A 23,387-nucleotide genomic window follows, 5' to 3' on the forward strand; every position below is an offset into this window, starting at 1 on the left:
CTGTCTATTGTAGATCATCAGCACACGGCTGTCATGTTAATATTCTTAAATGTTCATTTTTTTCACATCACTCCTCAACTTAATCTCCAGTGATCCCCAATAATCCACTGAATTTACTTCAGCATATTACTGTGCCTAGGTGTGTTCATTGTGCTAATAGAAAATCTATCACCACCTCCTATTCAGAATTACACATGCTGTTCCCTACACTCAGAGTGCTGCAGTTCTTCTCTTCTGTACCCCTCACCTTGCATATTTCAGTGGTTTTCAAGCCCTCAACACTTGGAGAGTGGGGGATGACAGGGGAAGAATAGGGGAGGTAGAGAGTGTTGGGAGGTAGGCTCAGGTCTTAGAACCCTCTGCACTGGATTTCCTTAAAATTTCATTTGAGGAAAGGGGTCCAAGGCAAAACAACAACAACTTGAAATCATTGTGCTGTTGAAGTTTCCAGTTAAGATTCATCTACCCTCATCACCCACTTCCTCCCAACATTGACTTTTCTCCTCTGTCTTCAGTCTCCAGAGTGGTGTAACTGTACTCCTAGATGAGGTGTGGTGTTTTAAGCATTCAACTCTTAATAAATTTGCCTCCTTGAGTCTTGTTTTCTACTTCTTTTGCATTCCCTAAAGTGCTTTACTATTGCATAAATGAATGAACAACTTGAGGAACACATGAATGCTCTGTGGTACTTTTAACTAGTGAGAAATTTCTGTTTATAAAATTATGGTTCTAATCTATCCTTAGCCATTTTCAGCAATGAGATAAATAGAAATAATCAATATATCATAAGTGACGTTCTGTTTGGGTTTCCCTGCCAGATGCGGGGGAATCCACATACCTGGCCAAAAAATAAGGGAAGGAGTTGGTCAGAAGTGATGAGAATGTTCTCTCTGAAACTCCTTATTCACTGGAATTGGCTGCCTGCCTTGTTCTGCCTCCTTCAATGCCCCCAAGGTTTACCTTTGCTAATCTGTGACATGGAGATTCAAATGTTTTCTTTCTTTTCTTTTCTTTTTCTTTTTTTTTTTTTTTTTTTTTTGAGACCAGTCTCGCTCTGTCACCCAGGCTGGAGTGCGGTGGCGCGATCTCAGCTCGCTGCAATCTCCACCTCCTGGGTTCACGCCATTCTCCTGCCTCAGCCTCCCGAGTAGCTGGGACTACAGGGGCCCACCACCACGCCCGGCTGATTTTTTGTATTTTTAGTAGAGACGGGGTTTCACCGTGTTAGCCAAGATGGTCTCGATCTTCTGACCTCGTGATCTGCCCGTCTTGGCCTCCCGTAGTGCTGGGATTACAGGCGTGAGCCACTGCGCCTGGCCCAAATGTTATATCTCACATCTCTTAGGGAGAATGGAAATCTCTTTAAGACTAAGGTCTACTTTGTTAAGTTAGAGTAATGTGAGTTTAATTGCATCACAAATATTGTTAGCACTTATTATTCAAGTTTGTTCCTGAATTATAACAGGACACTGATTTATCCCAAATTCCCAACTGGGAATGAAGAACAAAGACAAGTCCCTGCAGTGGTTTCTCCACTGAGCCCAAAAAACCACATCTGATAAGCTATGTAATTTGCTATAGCAATTTGTGCCAAAAATAAAGGCACACTTTTGCAGAGTCGCACATTTCTAAGAAAAACTGAACTCCACCCCATGCTAATCCAGCTCCTTTCTTTCTTTTTCAAACTTGATGTTTATGGATAGAAAATACCAGGCTGCATCTTAGGTCCCATACCATTGACGCCCCTTGGCCAAATGGCTAGGTCCATTGGCCTCTAGTCACCCCAAATCTCTCTTGCAGTCACTCTGTAACCCGAAGGGTGAGTGTAGGCAACAACAGTGGCCAGTTTTACGACACCCCAATAATATGATGTCTTTAATAGCACAGCAGATTCTTGGCTGATGGCCCTGGTTAAAGGAAGGAGGCACAGAATCTTCGAAGTCATCAATTTTAATGAGCACTGCAACTATTCCAGTAAACTAGATCCCTTTATTTTTGTTTGCTTGACAAAGAAACTTGATATGTCTAAGACATTTATTTCTTTTTAGTTCAACACCAGGACAGGAACTTGCTTTTTCACCACCAGTATTAGGCCCCCAATGGTGCTAAAAATTACTGTGCAGTCTTTTGGAAGGGGAAGAAGAAAAGAGGCTACAAGAAAAAGAAAAACAAAAGAACAAAACCAAACAAACACAAACTTTTGAAAAATTCAGGCTTTCTTTGGCTCAGAGGTTAAACATGAATTGTTAGCGTTCCCTTTCAAAGTTGGAGTTTGCCAAGGAATCTCATAAGCTTGCATGGTTTTGTGGAAGTTACAAGAGAAATAAGAAATTTCATCTGCATTTTCAAAGGCCAGGAATACTCAGTTGTGTGTGCGTGTGTGTCTGTATCTGTGCCTGTGTATGAGACAGTGAGAGAGAGAGAGAGAGAGACCGATAGACAGATAAATACAGCCAGAAGCCAAGGAAATTTCAACTACTTTATTTACAACATAATGAATTGAAATCTTTGGAAGGACTATTTCTGAGCTCTATGAGAAGGACACGTTAAAGGTAGCAAGTAATTTCTGTGGTTTGTAGTGAGATAACAAAGAGGTAAGTTGCTTGAGATGCTTGCATATTAGAGAAAACAACCCAGCCTTTGCTTCTAATCTTTTCCATCTTTGTGCAAACTCAGTGAACTCTTATTCCACAACTGAAGGCAACAGGCAGGCATTTGTTTTAACTCCTTAAGTAAACTCAAGTTCTAGAATCATTAAAGTCGAAAGTCCTTGTACAAATCACTAAATACTTTCCTTATTATAAGGAATTCATAGCACAGGGCAAACTGTGTCATCTCTTATGAATTTTTCAATCAAAATAAATTTCTCCTTCTTTTTCTGTTAAAACATTCTTTTAATGGAAGAAGGGGGGGAAAAGCAGCCCAGAAAAAATTACGCAAATGGCAAGGTAGTGACAAGGCATCTATCAAAGTGGCTCTGGAAATTCCAATTTTTAAAGTGCTATAAAAATATCATTATTAATGATGATTGACTGGGTTTTCAGAGCCAAGATATTTCAAGGCTGCTAAGTTAGAGTTGAGTGCAAAAGCGGGGGTGCTAAAATGGCTTCAGGGTTCCTTCACTTTGTTTCTTCATTGATTTTTAAGTAACATGTGAACACAGTCAAATTGATGATTTTCATTTTGAATTAGTTTGCCCTCTGTCATGCAGAGCCTTCCATCTTTTCCTGACTGTCAGTGCCTAATTCATCTTCATCAAGTCCCCAGCAGGAAGATTCAGATCTTATATTACTCTTTGTTTTACAGTTTTATTGTTTACAGGAAATTGGGACACAGAGAAAAATAGAGAGGAATCTACCCAAGCTTTAAGTAGAACTACTCAAGGGGAGAAGGTACAACTCCACTTCTGGGCCTGGAGGTACAGAATCTCCTTTATCGCAGCAGCTGCAGTAGGTGAAACAAGGGACTATAATCAAATACTCCCTGGAGTTATTTTTTGTTTGTTTACTATTTTTGCTTTTGTTTCAGATTCCTGAAAGATATTCGGTCTTGGTCTGTGTAAATCTCATACTTTGTACCTGATGCCTTCATGAACCTAGAAGTGCTCTCCCTTTTACAGAGGAGAAACTAAGGCTAAAGAAAAGCATGTACGGAATAAGCAATAACCATATTAGATTTCAGTATGATCAACTGTTACCGTAAAAATCTTGTATTTTGCTCTATTTTCAGTCACTGTGAAGGCTGGGAAAAATGACAAGTATGGTTTTTTAAAGTGTAATGAAAATGTGCTTGAAAACATCACAAAAATATTGTTTAGGTGAGGCCCAAGGCCCAAGTTAGAGGACTTCTTTAAGGACACAGAGGGAAAAAGAAAAAATGTCAACACCAACAAAACCTATCATTTGCTGAGCAAAAATCTCCTTCCTACCCCCTGAAGCGCCTTAACTCTCCACCTTCTGTTTCTAACAGTTAGAGCTGCTGCAGCTTCTGAAGATTCATTCTTGCAGTCCTATGGGAAGTCACCAGTTTGTTCTTTCAACAGTGTGCCAAAAGTGGAAAAAGGAAGAGTTTAAGCAACTGTCAACCAGGAAACTTTCTGTTTGTTTATTTTTAAAAAAGAAGACTTATCAAGCTAGCCAAGAAATTTTGTTGAAGTTACAGGCTGTCATTCTTTATAATCGCTCTACTTTCTTTTTCTTTCTGAATCCTGCATTTCCATGGAGGATAGATAATCTTGGGCATTATCCTCATTGGCTCGGCTTAGCTCTGTCCCTTGGGGTCCTGCTGACTCTATAAACTTTCAACTCCTAAATCCAATGCTGGCTCACCCAGGAAAGAAAAAAGCAAACTGAACAATAAAATTCAAGCTGTAGCTTCCGTTGTGACTCAAGAATAAAAAATGTTAATGGCCAACAGCATATAAAGTGCCACTAATCACCAATAATTTATTATTTCCCAGTGGGGTCCCCAAACAAACACCATCTTGCCCAACTCCATTACTGTCCAGGATTGGAAAAGCTTTTCAAAGTTAATTATCTGATTGAATCTTCACCTAGGGTTGAGCAGTTTGAAAATTTTTCATAAAAATTAAATATACCAGAAAGGAGAAAGTAAGTTTCCTTCCTTTCTTTTCTTTCTTAAGTCCCCCTCTTGTCTCTCTTCCTTTCCTTAGCAAGTCTTTGGCTGTGTCAGCTCTTCTATGCATGATTGGTTTGCTGTGATCTATGGAAAACTCTTACTACTTCAGGAATTTTATTTTGCTGGGTTTGGGCTATAGGATTTTGTTTTGAGGAAGTCTTAAAAGCTTATATTCTAGCCAAAACCTTTTATTCTTGGAACTGCACAGATAAATTAGACCATTTTGGGAAGGACCTTTGCAGTCACATTGCCAGGAAAAGTTTACAAGTGTATCCCAAAACATTAAGTATTATTTGGGTGTTCACACAATAGGTTGATAAGATGTTGTTTTTTCCTCTGCTGTTCTTAATGTAGTATATACGTGGTTGAACGAATAGTATAAATTCATTTATTGATAATTCTAGGAATAAATAGAATACTTGATTTGGAGGGCCCTAGTAAGTATTTATCGTAACAAACCCACATTCTTAATATCATACGGAAGAGAGCTTCATTCTCCTTCATGTATAAAAGTCGCTTCAAAAGCTTGTGTTGAAGGCCAGTTGTGGTGGCTCATGCCTGTAATCCTAGCACTTTGGGAGGCCGAGGTGGGTGGATAGCTTGAGGTCAGGAGTTTGAGACCAGCCTGGCCAACATAGGAAAACCCTGTCTCTACTAAAAATACAAAAATTAGCTGGGTGTGGTGGCATGCACCTGTAATCCCTGCTACTTGGGAGGCTGAGGCAGGAGAGTTACTTGAACCTGAGAAGCAGAGGTTGCAGTGAGCTGTGATCGTGCCATTGCACTCCAGCCTGGGTGACAGAGAGACTCCATCCCAAAACAAACAAACAAACAAACAAAAAACAAAAAAACTTGTGTTGATCAGGAAGAGCCCCAAACTTACTCTCTGGTGGACTTAACTTCTGGAGCTAGCTGCACTGGAGTTTAACTAGAATATTTGGAATCTAAATAAGAATTTAAATAATTACTCATTTTCTGTGTTAGAGTAACAATTTTAATGGTGCACCACATTGTAATTTTATATACGGCATTCGAGTAAGGAATTAATGGGGAAGAGAACTGCATTTGTTAAGAGCTACCTATGTGCCAGGATCCCAGTATATTCTCCTTGCAGCCCTGTAGGATGGGTATCATTATCCCCATTTCACAGATGAAGAAATAAAGGTCTAGGGGGGTTAGGTGACCCAACCAATGTCAAAAATGTAACAGCTAGCAGCCTAGGAAGGTCTATATTACTCCAAATCCATACTCTTTTCCATGATAACCTATTGCCTTCAAAGGGTGAAAAGGCTAATTTGATATCCACCATTACTGCCTATGTAGACAGGCAAATTTCACTGAGAATATTATCCCTTCCAATGGTCTGTCAATGAGAGGTGGGAAAGGTCATTGCCTTTGGATAACCTGTCTCTTCAGGAATTTCTAGGATGAGCAGAGTGTCTTTTCCTCCTCCTCATTGTGTTGTCCAAGAGTAATGGGCAGCTTGGAGGGGCATTCCAGAATTTCAGCCAATGGTGAAGAATTTGAGGTGAGGGAGGATGAAGCATGTACTGGCACTGTTGTATCAGGTATAGTAACACAATCTTGAATCAGCCTGAGCTTTCCTATGATCTTCAGTTTGTGATCTTTCCATAGGGCCTTGAGAGTTAGACGATCTCAACCCCATGATCAGAACAGTTTCATGGTTGTGTGGGAGTGGTTCCAACTCCACTATAATTGTGAAACATGCAGGCTCATATTCTGGGATACATGCTTCTCCAGCTGTCAACACCTTGATTGTTGAACGACTAAAATTACTTTCATATTAAAGACGGTTAATTCTACAAGGATCTTTCTCCTGAGAATGAAACACACTGTGAGTCATCTCTGAGAATTTAGGGGGTAGCAGAACCAACAACTTGACCTGAATAGGGCTAGATGATTAACTAGTCAAAGAGAGGTCAACCTTTCTTACTGCAAATTCATTCAATCTGAAACATGATTATGGTGACGTTTGCCAAAGAGAGTACCCTGAGGCAAAGAAGATCACACAAGGTTGAAGACTATTAGAACAGGATTCCAAAAAGATATGCTTCTAGTAAGGCCGACTTTGTGGGAGTGCAAACTTGAGCAGTCACATACACTCTGTACTTTGTTTAATGCTGTACTCTTGCTGTCTGGACTTTTTTTTTTTTTTTTGAGATCGAGTCTTGCTCTGTCGCCCAGGCTGGAGTTCAGTGGCACGATCTCAGCTCACTGCAACCTCCGCCTCCTGGGTTCAAGTGATTCTCCTGCCTCAGCCTCCTGAGTAGCTGGGATTACAGGCACGCTACCATGCCCAACTAATTTTTGTATTTTTAGTAGAGACGGGGTTTCGCCATGTTGGCCAGGCTCCTGACTTCAGGGTGATCCGCCCTCCTTGGCCTCCCAAAGTGCTGAGATTACAGGCGTGAGCCACCGAGCCCTGCCGCTGTCTGGAAAATTTTAACACTCTTTGAATAAGGGGCTATCACGTTTTCATTTTGCACTGGCCTGCAAATTAAGCAGCTGGTCTTAGCTGCTAGTAAAATGATGAGAATCATCAGGGATAAATAAGACCAGTGAAACTGCACCCAGACGGTGTCTCAGAACAGACGGTGACAAAACAAACATTGGCTATAAGTAGAACTCACCTCACCTGGTTGGTGAGTTTGCTGCCAGCACTGCATAGGGCAGATTTCACAGAATGGGGAACAACAGGACTACTGGTCAGGGAAGACAGGCATACTGGGGAAGAGTCCTCAGGGAGCAAATTAGTAAGGCCCTTTTCCCTCTGGGGTAATAAAACAGACACAAAGAAGAACTTGAAGGATTAGAAGACTGGGCTAGACTCAAGAAGAGTTAGGACGTACCTGCAAATTCAGAGTAGGATATCCTGAAGTGCAGAAAATAAATCTTTAGCTATTTATCATCTTTGTCCCCAAATAAGGTTCCCATAGGAATGCCATATTGATCAAGTTGGAAAGCCCCACACCAGGAACAAATATTATAACATAGGTTGTAGAAGATATTAAAAATTGGTAAGACTTCACTCTGAGTATCCTAGATAAAAAGGGAGTCAGTAATTACATACCAAAGAACATAACTAGGATAACTCTTCAATTACTTGATTTTTTGGGGGGTAACTTTTTCATGTTTATTGTCATTATCTCCATCTACTTTTCCATACTATCTTTAAAAATGGAAGAACCTGTGTGCTTATTCTGGGTTATAACAAGAAAGGGAGGAGGTTGGAGAATCATATTATACATTGCAGTCTACCCTGGGGAGAGCCTACCTTGAAGAGAAACAAATCATGGGTTATAGAGTAGGAGGGGACAGCTTTTTTTTTTTCTTAAAGCAAGTTAAATACCTAGGGTGTATAGGGAGGAAGAAAAGGTCCCTTTGTGACACAGCTGGGGATGAGCAAGAGGAAATTAGGGGGCATGGAGGCCCTTCTCTTGAACAGTGATTTCAGACATACTCAAGAGAAGGCATTATTCCAGCCTCCAAGAGATTCGAAGAGATTCCTAAGCATTTAAATGATGGAACTGTATCGTCTCAATCAACTAAAAACACATTTCCTAATGATTTGTAGCTCTCTGCTGGCTGGGTGAAGGGGCCTGTCTACAAACCTAGTGTGGTCATCAGTCTGAGTGCTGTCTTCTTGGAGATCTGAGGATGTGCCTCTGGATAGCATAGAGAGCCTGCCAAGACTTACCAAACTCCCCTGTCTCCACTACTCTGATGGTTCATGAGAAACAAATGCTACAGTCATAAGGATTTGCAGTGCATCTCTAGGATTAGGTAGAAAAATGAAAAAAGCTGGGAGATGGTTGGGATTTTGTTTTGTTTTGTTTTTTTTGCTTCCAATTTGTAGTCGTGACTGGAAAGGAAAGGAGAAAGGAGGGTAATAGCTGGTTACGTAGAAGGCATCTAAAGGAAAGAATTCGTCTTCTGGATCATGACAGCAACATCAGAAAGATGTACTACTGAAGATGGAAAGGGCAACAGATCAAAGTGGAGAGCATATTTAACAAGGATGAATGGATAAAGGGGAGGGAGAAAAATCAAGACCAACTACCAGCTAGGTAACAAGGACAGTGAGCATGACAGAAAAAGAATTTGTACAGTGAAAGTGGTCCCTGGTAATGATCATTCTTTCCTTCATTCGACAAATAACAGAGAATTTCGCTTAGAATAATCTTTATGTCTTTAGGAAGCTATCTTATGTCAACAGAAAGGAGGTGACAAAATGAGCTCAAAGTTTTAAAGCAAAAAGTAAATATAATGTTATTGAGAGCACTAAGACTGAATGGGATAAAATTCAGCCTAAAAAAATATTAAGAGAGGCCAGGCACGGTGGCTCACATCTGTAATCCCAGCACTTTGGGAGGCCAAGGTGGGCAGATCACCTGAGGGGAGTTTGAGACCAGCCTGTCCAACATGGTGAAACCCCATCTCTACTAAAAAATGCAAAAATTAGCTGGGCGTGGTGGCGGGCACCTGTAATCCCAGCTACTTGGGAGGCTGAGGCAGGAGAATTGCTTGAACCTGGGAGGCAGAGGTTGCAGTGAGCCAAGATAATGCCACTGCACTCCAGCCTGGGCGACAGAGCAAGACTCTATCTCCAAAAAAAAAAAAAAAAAAAAAATTAAGAGAAAGACATACTTTATTCAAAAACTTATTCTATAGGAGAAACGAGATTAGTGCCATGTATAACTAAGATATATATCAAGGTGGAGACAAAGCAAAAAAAGGTAAAGCAAATAAAGCAAATGAGAAATTAGTTATACTGCTATATACACCTCAAGACCATGGTGGAGGAGGGAGGAAATGGATATTGTGTTTTTGGTGTTACATCTTGGTACGAGTAACCCTTGGCAGTAAGGGGAGAATTTGATTATCTTTGAAAAAGTTAATTTTGCTCAAATTAAAGTATTTGGTAAATGCCTAACTTTTAATGTTGACATTTTAAATCTCTATAAATAAGAGAGCATACAAGAGAGTTGAATGTCAATATGGAGATTCTGAGGGGTAATAACGAGGGAGTAACCAAAGTCTTGGAGCCTAGACTATAGAAGGTCATGTATGTGGTCCTGCTTGTACTCCTTGAAATGAAGTTCTTGGACAGGATAGTTCCACAAATTCTTATTGGTCTGCATCAAGATGAAAGTAAGTATTGGAAACTTTTACAGTGATTTTTATCACCACAACATTTTTATTTTATTATATGAAACTAAAACTGATCCCTTACCACAGATACTTTGAGAGGCACTTTCCTAGTTCATAATAAAATAGAATTAGAAAACTTTACTGCCTTTTGTCCTGACCGTGAATACAGCTTGAGAAAAGGAAAGAGGGAGAATGTGAATATATATTTGGGAATTATCCCAATGGAACAAATGAGGAAAATAATTTTAAAAGCAGTGTGATTGTACTAGAAGCTCTCTTGATGAGAAAAAGGGGATAAAACCTTTTTATTGAGCACTCTTATATGTAGGCACTTTTATTGAGATTATCTTTTGTTTTCGAGACAAGGTCTTGCTCAGTCACCCAGGCTGGAGGGCAGTGTCACAGTCTCAGCTCACTGCAGCTTTGAATTCCAAGCTCAAGCGGATCCTCTCACCTCAGCCTCCCGAGTAGGTGGGACTACAGGTGCACACCACCACACCTGGCTAATTTTTTTGACTTTTTTGTAGAGACAGGGTCTCACTGTGTTGCCCAGGCTGGTCTCGAACTCCTGAGCTCAAGTGATCCTCCCACATCAATCTCCCAAAGTCCTTGGATTACAGGTGTGAATCAATGCACCTGGTTTATTTAGATTATTTTAAGTAATGAAATTCTAATTTTTATGGAAGGTGGGGCATAACTGAAGCTCAGTGACTTTAGTGGGTTGAAGGTGTCCCCCAAAAGATATATCCATATTCCAGTCCCTAGAACCTGTGACTATTAACATATATGGCAAAAAAAGATGTGATTAAGTTACAGATCTTGAGAAGAGGAGCTTATCCTAAAGAGGTCCTAAATGCAATCACACATATTCTTATAAGAAAGATGCACCGAGAAAGACATAGCGAAAAGGAAGAGGCGATGTGACTATGGAAGCAGAGATTGGAGTGATGCAGCCACATGCCAAGGAGTATCCACAGCCACCAGAAGTCGAAGAGGCAAGGAAGGGGTTTTCCCCTAAAGCCTTTGGAGGGCGTGTGTCCCTGCCGACACTTTGATTTCAGGCTTGACTGGCCTCCAGAACTGTGAGAGAATAAATTTCTGTTGTTCTAAGCTACTCAGTTTGTGGCAATTTGTTACAGCAGCCTTAGGAAACTAATGCAGTGACCTAAAGTAACTTATAGAAAATGAAAAATCTGATGTTTAGCCTCGGGTGTCACTCCAAAGCCTTTTATGATGACCCATCATATCGCAGGCTTCTAGACTTTATAATAGCTGGATCAAATGATTAGAAATAGGTTGAAAGGCTAGGGAAAGCACAGAGAAATAAAGCGTGTATGCTGTGGCCTCATATACTAGGTTTCAATCCTGGTTCCTCTGCTCACTTTACTTGCCTTCTGGAAGTTCCAGTTCCCTCAAATGTAAACTATTATAAATGTCATAAACCAAATTAACATGGTATTGTAAGGATTAAGAAGCCATGTATATAAACTTCTTTGCAGGCTGGGCAGTGGCTCACGCCTGTAATCCCAGCACTTTGGGAGGCCGAGGAGGGCAGATCATAATGTCGGGAGTTCGAGACCAGCCTGGCCAACATAGTGAAACCCCATCTCTACTAAAAATATAAAAATAAGCTGGGCATGGTGGCGGGTGCCTTTAGTCCCAGCTACTCGGGAGGCTGAGGCAGGTGAATCACTTGAACCCGGGAGGCAGAGGTTGCGGTGAGCCAAGATCATGCCACTGCACTCCAGCTTGGGCAACAGAGCAAGGCTCCGTCTCAAAACAAAACAAAAAACTTCTTTGCAAACTGTAGAGCACTATTCAAATGCTAATTCCTAAGACCCCCATTCTCCTCTACCCTCAGTCCCCCAAGAGAGACTGAAGAGAGGATGTATGCAGCAATCTTTATACTCTGTATCTCATCTGTTGCAGCTGCAATGGGATTGGTTCGCCCATTTTCCTGCCACAGCAGAGATGAACATCTTCCTCTCTCTAGCTGTAGAGTCCTAATATTACGGGCCTGCGGGAGCAACAAGAAGCCCCTGAACCTGTGGAGCAATTTTACTTGAAAGAAAACCTCAGAAGCTACCATGCCAAAACAAAATAGTTGTTTTTGGTAGATTTTTTCTTTTAGTGTTCAGATGGACAATACTAAATAACTCTATTCAACAGGCCAGTTCACTTCTACTTGTTTACTTATACCCTGCCTTGTTCCAGAAAGGATTTAAGGTGGATTACCTATTAATACCACACAAGATAAAATGAAGTGAAAAATAAGTGGGTGAGGAAAGTAGGACACCAGGAAAATAAGATGCAGAAAATTAAGTGACAGCAGGAGTGAGTTAGACTCATTGTGCTTTGTAAGGGCTTGTGTGCCCACTGAGGCTGGCCGGGAGAGTGTCTCTAAGCTTTCTTGCTATTAATACAGAAAAGTCTGTAAGTCAAGGTCACCTGCAATCTCCTTTTTTGAGATAGGGTCTCACTCTGTAACCCAAGCTGGAGTGCAGTGGCACGATCTTGGCTCACTGCAACATCCACCTCCTGGGTTCAAGCCATTCTCCTGCCTCAGCCTCCTGAGTAGCTGGGACTACAGGTGTGCACCACCATGCCCAGCTAATTTTTGTGTTTTTAGTAGTGATGGGGTCTCGCCATGTTGTCCAGGCTGGTCTCGAACTCCTGGCCTCAAGTGATCTGCCCACCTTGGCTTCCCAAAGTGGTGGGATTACAGGCGTGAGCCGATGTGCCTGACCACAATGTCCTCTTTAGGAAGTAATTTCTGTCTGCCCAGAGCACTGGCTATGGAACATAAAGATCTCAAAGATTTTAACACTGAGCACGACCATACTCATTTTAGCCTGAATTATTTTTTTAAAAAAAGGATCAGTGAAACTTTCATTTTTGAGAAACATAACTGTCTGATATACTGGCTAGTATACTAGCCACCAAATTTATATTTATACAACTGATGACTAACTAGGTGCACAGGCTGATTAACTATAAATCAGGTATGCGGAAGGGGATGCCTACCCAAAAGATGCCTTTGGTTTTAAAACTATCCATTTGTTGTCTTTTTTGGCATTGGTCAGGGCAAGCTTGACCTGCAGCCACTTGCTGTTCATGCCAATTAATTTGGTGTCTCCTTATAAGAGAATATCTATTTTTCTATTCTCTAGAACAGAAAGAAATGAGTCAAAATTATAGAAAAGTATCATTAAATTATTGATTCAAATTAGATGGAAACTAGTGGTTGGATGAAGCACAGTCTCTGTTTTTATTCCACTGAAATCACCATCTGAAGAGTAATTCACTTAGCTTTTCTGGATGTGAATTTTGCATCTAATTCATAGTGGGAGCCCATAACAATGTTGCAACGCTTAAAATAAAAAAGTTGACAAAGGCTATATTAAATGACTTTATAGTGAAAATTGATGATGGGGAAGTAACTACGGCCCTCAAACCCCTTCAGAATTGGATGATCTCTCTGCTGTCTGGCAGGGGTTGGCAAACTTTTTCTGTAAAGGGCCAGATAGTAAATATTTTAGGTTTTGTGGGCCAAATGTTCTCTGTTGTAACTATTCAACTCTCCATTGTGATGTAATGTCTATGAATGGACAGTGTATAAGCTAAGGGGGATAGCTGCATTTCAATAAAACTTTATTTACAAAAACAGGTGGCAAGGGAATTTGGTTAATTAATGAGCTATAGTTTGCCTGCTTTATGTTGTAGAACTATGGGGTTTTATGTTCTTGTTTAAAGTTTTCACTATATTCAAAACTGTTTTCAAAGAGAAATTTTGGTTTGACCATCTACCTCCCTGAAGATTATGGGTAGGCTCTCTTTTTAGACAAGAAGCTTTGATTTTTGAAACAGATCATTGCCACCTACATACCAGTTATCTAAAACACGAAGCTCTCCATTTTATCAACAACACAGAAAAACTACATTCTAGGCTCCCCATATAACTTCAACCACTATAAATGACAGCATAGCTACTTGTAAAGGCCTGGCTGATGCAGAGAGATAAGAAAGATAACTTAATGTGCATAATAATTCATTACTCTAGATTTTTAAATGTTCAGACTTGTATCAAGCCACATGATTAAGAATATGTATACATGTACTACATTACCTTCCCTCCTCTAGAAGTGTCCTTGCAGAATTGCAGTTTCACACCACTCCATCATCTTTTGTTTCATTTACTTATTTTTGAGACGGAGTCTTACTCTGCCACCTAGGCTGGAGTGCAATGGCGCAATCTTGGCTTACTGCAACCTCCGCCTCCTGGGTTCAAGCAATTCTCCTGTCTCAGCCTCTTGAGTAGCTGGGACTACAGGTGCCCAACACCAGCTAATTTTTGTATTTTTAGTAGAGATGGGGTTTCACAGTGTTGGCCAGGCTGGTCTTGAACTCCTAACCTCAGGTGATCCACCCGCCTTGGCCTCCCAAAGTGCTGGGATTACAGATGTGAGCCACTATGCCCGGCCCATCTTTTATAAAGGATTATATGTAAAAGTGACTTTTTGGAGAACACTTTTCCTCTTTTGAAAAACTATGGTTGAATACACTTTTCATTAGATTGTTTTACGTCATTTAGGAAGTAAAGCTCTGTGTGACCCTTAGCATTTAGTGGGACAATGGAATTGTATCTCTTGTGCTTCCTGTTGTTTACCAAGGAGTGCAATGTAACTCCTCTTATGCTACCCCTTGTATATATATTTTAAGCTCTGTTTCCAAAAAGTGAAACTAAGTATATGTTCAATTGCACAGCTTGTATTCAGCCTAGGTTTAGAAGCCCCAAGCAGAAGTAATGGTCAACATTCATTTCTATAGCACGCACTGGCTGGCCTCTGGTCCTCAGGCAGAATTTTTTTTTTTTTTTTTAATAAAAAATAGAGGCCGGGCGCGGCGGCTCACGCCTGTAATCCCAGCACTTTGGGAGGCCGAGGCGGGTGGATCATGAGGTCAGGAGATCGAGACCATCCTGGCTAACAAGGTGAAACCCCGTCTCTACTAAAAATACAAAAAATTAGCCAGGCGCGGTGGCGGGCGCCTGTAGTCCCAGCTACTCGGGAGGCTGAGGCAGGAGAATGGCGTGAACCCGGGAAGCGGAGCTTGCAGTGAGCCGAGATTGCGCCACTGCAGTCCGCAGTCCGGCCTGGGCGACAGAGCGAGACTCCGTCTCAAAAAAAAAAAATAAAATAAATAAATAAATAAATAAATAAATAAATAAATAAAAAATAGAGACAGAGTTTTGCCATGATGCCCAGGCTAGTCTTGAACTCCTGGGCTCATGCTCAGCCTCCTCAGGGAGAATTTTGTAAAATTTTAGTTTTAGTTTTAGTTTTAATTTTTGTAGGTACATGGTAGGTGTATATATTTATGGGGCACATGAAATATTTTGATACAGGCATACAATGCATAATAATCACATCAGAGTATATGGGGTATTCATCACCTCAAGCATTTATCCCTTGTGTTACAGAGATAAAGAAAATAAGTTTCATTGATCCTTTACTGATTTTTTTTTTTTTAATCCAGGCTAAAATGAGTATGGTTATGCTCAGCATCAAGATCTTTGAGGCCTTGACTTCCCATAGCCAGTGCTCTGGGCAGGCAGAAGTTACTTCCTAAAGAAGACATTTTTGGGGATCTTGTTTGCCAGTACCATGTTGTTTTAGTTACTATAGCTGTGTAGTATAATTTGAAGTCAAGTAATTTGATTCCTCCAGTTTCATTCATTTTTCTTAGTATAGGTTTGTCTATTGTGGGTCTTTTGTGATTCCATATAAATTTTTTGATTGTTTTCTTCTATTTCTGTGAAAAATGTCATTGGTATTCTGATAGGGATTGCATTATATCTGTGGAGTGCTTTGGATAGTATGGACATTTAAACTTATTGATTCTTCTAATCCATGAACGTGGAACATCTTTCCATTTTTTTATGTCTTCTTCAATTTCTTTCATCAATCTTTTACGTTGTAGAGATCTTTCATTTCTTTGGTTAATTCCTAGGTGTTTCTTTTTTTTTTTTTTTTTTGAGACGGAGTTTCGCTCTTGTTGCCCAGGCTGGAGTGTAATGGTGGGATCTCAGCTCACCACAACCTCCGCCTCCCAGGTTCAAACGATTCTCCTCTCTCACACTCCCTAGTAGCTGAGATTACAGGTGCATGCCACCATGCCTGGCTAATTTTTGTATTTTTAGTAGAGATGGGGTTTCATCATATTGGTCAGGCTGGTTTTGAACTCCTGACCTCAAGTGATCTGCCCACCTCGGCCTCCCAAAGTGCTGGGATTACAGGCCTGAGCCAACGCACCCGGCCAGTATTTTATTTTATTTGTAGCTATTGTAAATGAGATTACTTTCTTGATTACCTTTTCAGATTATTTACTATTGGCCTATAGAAATGGTACTAATTTTAGTATGTTGATTTTGTATCCTGAATACTGAATTTGTTTATCAGTTCTAATAGTTTTTTTGTGGAGTCTTTTTTTTTTTTACTTTTAAGTTCAGGGGTACATGTGCAGGCTTATTACACAGGTAAACTTGTGTTGTGGAGGTTTTTGTACAGATTTTTTCATCATCCAGGTATTAAGCCTAGTACCCATTAGTTAGTTTTCCTGATCCTCTCCCTCCTCCCACTCTCTACCCTCTGAAAGGCCCTACTGTGTGTTCTTCCCCTCTACGTGTCCATGTGTTCTCATTATTTAGCTCCTACTTATAAGTGAGAACATGCAGTATTTGGTTTTCTGTTCCTGTGTTAGTTTGCTAGGGATAATGGCCTCCAGCTCCATCCATGTTCCTGCAAAGGACATGATCTCATTCTTTTTCATGACTGATAGTATTCCATGTTGTATATGTACCACATTTTCTTTATCTAGTCTACTATTGATGGGCCTTTAGGTTGATTCCATTTGCTATTGTGAATAGTGCTGCAATGAACATATGTGTGCATGTGTCTTTATAATAGAATGACTTACATTCCTTTGAGTATATACCCAGTAATGGGATTGCTGGGTGGAATGATATTTCTGTCTTTAGGTCTTTGAGGAATTGCCAACCTGTCTTTCACCATTGCTTAACTAATTTACACTCCCACTAACAGTGTATAAATGTTTCTTTTTCTCCACAACTTTGCCAGCATCTGTTGTTTTTTGACTTTTTAATAGTAGCCATTCTAACTGGTATTAGATGGTATCTCATTGTGATTTTGATTTGCATTTTTCTAATGATCAATGATGTTGAGCTTTTTTTCATATGATTGTTGGCCACATGTATGTCTTTTAAAAAGTGTTTGTGGAGTCTTTAGTTCAAGCTTGTCCAACTTGCAGCCAGTGGGCCACATGTGACTCAAAAGACAGCTTTCAATATGGCCCAATACAAATTTGTAATTTTTATTAAAACATGAGATTTTTTTGAAATTTTTTTGTTTTAGCTCATCTACTGTTAGTGTTTTTTATGTGTGGCCCAAGACAATTCTTCTTCCATTGTGGCCCAGGGAAGACAAAATATTGGACACCTGCTTTAGGTTTTTCCAAATATAAGATCATATCACTTTCAAAGAAAGGTTATTTGAATTCTTCCTTTCCAAACTGGATGCCTTTTATCTCTCTTCTCTGATTGCACTAGCCAGGACTGCCAGTACTATATTGAATAACAGTGGTGAAAATGGGCATCCTTGTCATGTTCCTGATCTTAGAGGAAAGACTTTCAGTTTTTCCCCATTTAGCATGATACTAGGGTTGGGTCTGTCATATGTGGCTTTTATTATGTTGAAGTTTGTTTCTTCTGTACTCAGGTTTCTGTGGGTTTTTATCATAAGTGGATGGTGAATTTTATTAAATGCTTTTTCCAGCATCAGTTGAAATGATCATATGGTTTTTGTCCTTCATTCTGTTGATATGATGTATCATACTGATTCATTTGCATATGTTGATCCATCCTTGCATTCCAGGGATACATCCCACCTGGTCATAATGAATGATCTTTTTAATGTGTTGTTGAGTTCAGTTTGCTAGTGTTTTTTTGAGGATTTTTGTATCAAGTGTTTTGTTGAGGATTTTTGTATCAATGTTCATCAGGGATATTGACCTGTAGTTTTCTTTTCTTGATGTGTCTTTGTTTGGTTTTGGTATCAGAGTAAAAACAGCCTCATAGAATGAGTTTGGTAGTATTTTTTCTTCTTTTATTTTTTGGAATAGTTTGAGTAGAATTGGTATTAGTTCTTCTTTAAATGTCTGCAAAAATTCAACAGTGAAGCCATCAGGTCATAGGCTTTTCTTTCCTGAGAGACATTTTATTATGGCTTCGATCTCATTACTTGTTATTGGTCTGTTCAGGATTTGGATTTCTTCCTGGTTCAATCTTGGTAGATTGTGTGTGTCTAGGAATTTTCCATTTCTTCTAGGTTTTCCAATTCATTGGCATGTAGTTACTCATAGTAGCTTCTAACGATCCTTTGAATTTCTGCAGCATTAGTTGTAATGTCTCCTTTTTCATCTCTGATTTAATTTGTTTGAGTCTTTTCTATTTGTTTCTTAATTAGTTAGGCTAAATGTTTGTTGATTTTTGTTTATCTTTTCAAAAACCCACTTTTTATTTCATTGATGTTTTGTATTTTTTTCATTTCAGTTTCATTTATTTCTGCTCTAATCTTTATTATTTCTTTTCTTCTACTAATTTTGGGTTTTGTTTGCTCTTGCTTTTCTAGTTCTTTAAGATGCATCATTAGGGCTGGGTATGGTGGCTCAAGCCTGTAATCCCAGCACTTTGGGAGGCCAAGGTGGGTGGATCACGAGGTCAGGAGATGGAGACCATCCTGGCTAACACAGTGAAACCCCGTCTCTGCTAAAAATACAAAAAAAAAAAATTAGCCGGGCGTGGTGGCGGGCACCTGTAGTCCCAGTTACTCAGGAGGTTGAGGCAGGAGAATGGAGTGAACCTGGGAGGCGGAGCTTGCAGTGAGCCTAGATTGCGCCACTGCACTCCAGCCTGGGTGACAGCAAAAATTCATCTCAAAAAAAAAAAAAAAAGATGCATCATTAGGTTGTTTACTTACAGTTTTTCTACTTTTTCATAGAGGTCCTTATTGCTATAAACTTTTCTGTTATTAGTGCTTTCATTGTATCCTATAGGCTTTGATATGTTGGGTTTCCATTTTCATTTATTTCAAGAAATTTTTAACTTTTCTCCTTAATTTCTTCATTGACCCACTGGTCATTCTGGAGCATACTGTTTAATTTCCATGTGTTTTAGTTTCCAAAATTCCTGTTGCTATTGAGTTCCAGTTTTATTCCATTGTGATCACAGAAGTTACTTAATATTGTTTCAATTTTTTTGAATTTTTAAAGACTGGTTTTGCGGCCTAACATATATATGGTTCATCTATCTATCTATCTATCTATCTATCTATCTATCTATCTATCATCTATCATCTATCTACCTACCTACTTATCTATCTCTATCTATATCCATAACATATATATGGTTTATCCATATATAGGATAATCCGTGTGCTGAGGAGAAGAAAGTGTATTCTACAGCCATTGGATGAAATGTGAATATCTATTACATCCATTTGGTCTATAGTGCAGATTAAGTACAATGTTTCTTTGTTGATTTTCTGTCTGGATGATCTGTCTGATGCTGGAAGTGGTATGCTGAAGTCTCCAGCTATTATTGCACTGGGGTCTATCTATCTCTCTCTTTAGCTCTAATAATATTTGCTTTATATATCTGCATGCTCTAGTGTTTCGTGCATATGTATTTACAATTGTTATATCCTCTTGCTGAATCGGCCTCTTTATCATTATATAGTTTTGTGTGTGTGCATGTCTCTTTTTATAGTGTTTGTCTTGAAATCTATTTTGTCTGATGTAAGTATAGCTATTCCTGGTCTTTTTTGGTTTCTGTTTGCATGAAATATCATTTTCCATCTTTTTATTTTCAGTCTATCTGTGACTTTGTTTATTTATTTATTTTTTTTTGAGACAGAGTCTCGCTCTGTCGCCCAGGCTGGAGTGCAGTGGCCTGATCTCAGCTCACTGCAAGCTCTGCCTCCCGGGTTCATGCCATTCTCCTGCCTCAGCCTCCTGAGTAGCTGGTACTATAGGCACCCGCCACCAAACCCAGCTAATTTTTTGTATTTTCAGTAGAGACGGGGTGTCACTGTGTTAGCCAGGATGGTCTCGGTCTCCTGACATTGTGATCCTCCCACCTCAGCCTCCCAAAGTGCTGGGATTACAGGAGTGAGCCACCGCGCCCGGCCTATGTGTGTCCTTTTAGGTGAAGTGTGTTTCTGATAGGCAACAGATCATTAGGTCTTTTTTTTTTTTTTTTTTTTAATCTATGCAGCCACTCTGTGTCTTTTGATTGGAGAGTTTAGCCCATTTACAGTCAATGTTATTATTGATAAGTAAGGACTTATCTTCTGTCATTTTGTTATTTGTTTTCTGGGTGTTTTTTGGTCTCCTCTTTCTTCTTTCCTTCCTTAATATCTTCTTTTTAGTGAAGGTGATTTTCTCTGGTAGTATATTTTGATGTTTGCATCCATTGTATGTTTTTGATTGGAGGCTATGATATTGTATTATATGTATTGTATGATATTTTGATGAGGCTTGCAAATAATATCTTATAACCCATTATTTTAAACTGATGACAACTTAACACTGACTTTGTAAACTAACAAACAAGCAAAGAGAAAAGTGATAAAAATGCTGTAATTTAACTTCATCTCCTCAATTTTTAACCTCCTGTTATTTCTATCTTCCTGTATTGTGAATACTTGAAAAACTGTAGCTATCATTTTTGATAGGGTCATCTTTTAGTGTTTCTACTCAGGATATAGTAGTTCACATTCCACAATTACAGTGTTGTAATATTCTGTTTTTTTTCTGGTACTTACTATTACCAATAAGTTTTGTACCTTTAGATGATTTCTTATTGCTCATTAAAATGCTTTTCTTTCAAACTGAGGAACTCCCTTTAGCATTTCTTGTAGGACAGATCCCAAGTTGATGAAACCCCTCAGCTTTTATTTGTCTGGGAAATGCTTTATTTCCCCTTTAAGTTTGAAGGATATTCTCACTGGATATACTATTCTAGGGTAAAAGATTTTCTCCTTCAGCATGTTAAATATATTGTGACACTCCCTCCTGGCCTGTAAGGTTTCTACTGAGAAGTCTGCAGCTAGATGTGTTAGAACTTCTTTGTATATTGTTTTTTTTTCTCTTGCTGCTTTCAGGATCCTTTCTTTATCCTTGATCTTTGGGAGTTTGATTATTAAATACATTGATGTAGTCCTATTTTGGTTAAACCTGCTTGGTGTTCTATAACCTTCTTGTACTGCAACTTTGATAACTTTCTCTAGATTTGGGAAATTCTTTGTTATTATCCCTTTCTTTCCCAATCTGTCTCTCTGCCTCCTCTTTAGGACCAATAACTCTTAGATTTGTCTTTTTGAGGCTGTTTTCTAGATCTCGTTTGTGTGCTTCATTCTTTTTTTCTGCTTTTTGCTTTTGTCTGCTCTGACTGTATTTTCAAATAAACTGTCTTCAAGCTTACTAATTCTTTCTTCTGCTTGATCAATTTTGCCGTTAAGGGACTGATGCATTCATGTCAGTTGCATTTTTCAACTCCAGAATTTCAGTTTGATTCTTTTAAATTACTTCAATCCCTTTGTTACATTTATCTAATAGAATTCTGAATTCCTTCTTGGTGTTATCTTGGATTTCGTTGAGCTACTCAAAATAGCTATTTTGAATTCTCTGTTGAAAGGTCACATATCTGTCTCTTCGGGATTGGTCTCTGGCAGCTTATTGAGTTCATTTGGTGAGGTCATGTTTTCCTGGATGGTCTTGATGCTTGTAGATGTTTGTCAGTGTCTGGGCATTGAAGAGTTAGGTATTTATTGTAGTCTTTGCAGTCTGGGCTTGTTTTTAACCATCATGCTGGGGAAGGCTTTCCAGGTATTTGAATAGATTTAGGTGTTGTGATCTATGTCTTTGGTTGCTGCAGCCATATCTGCGTTAGGGGACACTCCAAGCCCAGTGATGCTGTGGCTTTTGCCAACTTGTAGAGGTACCACATTGGTGGTCTTGGGTAAGACCTGGAAGGATTCCCTGGATTACTAGGAAGAGACTCTTGTTTTCTTCCCTCACTTTCCTCTAAACAAACAGAATCTCTCTCTCTGTAGCTGTGTTGCCTATAGCTGGGGGAAGGATAAAACAGGCACCCCTGTAGCACTGGGTCAGACCCGAAGCTAGTACAGCACTGAGTCTCACCCATGGCCCATGGTGACCAACACCTGGGTACCGCCTATGTTCACTCAAGGCCCAAGGACTCTACAATCAGCAGGGGGCAAATCCTGCTGGGCTTGTATCCTTCCCTCAGGGCAGTGTGTTTCCCCCAGCCCTAGGTGGGTCCAGGTATATTCATTTGTTCTTGCACTGCTATGAAAAAATATCTGACACTGGGTAATTTATAAAGAAAAGAGATTTAATTGGCTCACGGTTCCTCAGCCTGTACAGGAAGCATGGCTGGGGAGGCCTCAGGAAACTTACAATCATGGCAGAAGGTAAAGGGGAAGCAGGCACCTCTTACATGGCCAGAGCAGGAGGAGGGTGGGGGAGATGCTTTCAAACAACCAGATCTTGTGATAACTCACTGACTATCATGAGAACAGAACCAAAGGGGAAATTTGCTCTCATGATCCAATCACCTACTGTCAGGCCCCACCTCCAACATTGGGGATTCCAATTTGACACAAGATTTTGGTGGGAACACAAACCCAAACCATATCACCAGGGATGCTGTCTAGGAGCCGGGGCCTGCAGTTGGGAACCTTAGGAATTTACCTGGTGCTCTGTTTTACAGCAGCTGAACTGGAACCCAAGCTGCAAAGCAAAGTCCTTCCCACTCTTCCCTCCCCCACCATCCTTATTTATTTATTTTTTTTGAGACGGAGTCTTGCTCTGTCGCCCAGGCTTGAGTGCAGTGGCTGGATCTCAGCTCACTGCAAGCTCCGCCTCCTGGGTTCAAGGGATTCTCCTGCCTCAGCCTCCCAAGTAGCTGGGACTACAGGCGCCTGCCACCATTGCCTGGCTAATTTTTTGTATTTATTTGTTTTGAGACGGAGTCTTGCTCTGTCGCCCAGGCTGGAGTGCTGTGGCACGATCTCCGCTCACTGCAAGCTCCGCCTCCTGGGTTCACACCATTCTCCTGCCTCAGCCTCCTGAGTAGCTGGGACTACTGGCGCCCGCCACCATGCCCGGCTAATTTTTTGTATTTTTAGTAGAGACGGGGTTTCACCGTGTTAGCCAAGATGGTCTCGATCTCCTGACCTCGTGATCCACGCGCCTCGGCCTCCTAAAGTGCTGGGATTACAAGCGTGAGCCACCGAGCCCGGCCAATTTTTTGTATTTTTAAGTAGAGACAGCGTTTCGCCGTGTTAGCCAGGATGGTCTCAATCTCCTGACCTCGTGATCCACCCGCCTCGGCCTCCCAAAGTGCTGGGATTACAGGCATGAGCCACTGAGCCCGGCCCCCTCCACACTTTTTAAGTAGAGGAGTCTCTCTCCATGGC

General features: G+C 40.2%; 1 long non-coding RNA gene across 1 annotated transcript, besides 1 other annotated feature; it reads left to right on the forward strand.

Annotated features, from left to right (window-relative positions):
* Positions 1-1,269: 1,269 nt before the first annotated feature.
* LOC105378024 (uncharacterized) lies at positions 1,270-4,418 on the forward strand. The gene is made up of 2 exons (XR_943068.3): positions 1,270-3,418; positions 3,529-4,418. It is a non-coding gene; the product is annotated as an uncharacterized LOC105378024 (long non-coding RNA).
* Positions 22,387-22,587: a silencer, noted in NCBI's record as "peak6156 fragment used in MPRA reporter construct". NCBI's record gives its function as "represses an SCP1 promoter by STARR-seq MPRAs in K562 erythroleukemia cells {active_cell/tissue: K562}" and the evidence as "EXISTENCE:reporter gene assay evidence [ECO:0000049][PMID:32103011]".

This window comes from Homo sapiens, chromosome 6, assembly GCF_000001405.40.
Source record: "Homo sapiens chromosome 6, GRCh38.p14 Primary Assembly".
In the NCBI taxonomy this organism is placed as follows: domain Eukaryota; kingdom Metazoa; phylum Chordata; class Mammalia; order Primates; family Hominidae; genus Homo; species Homo sapiens.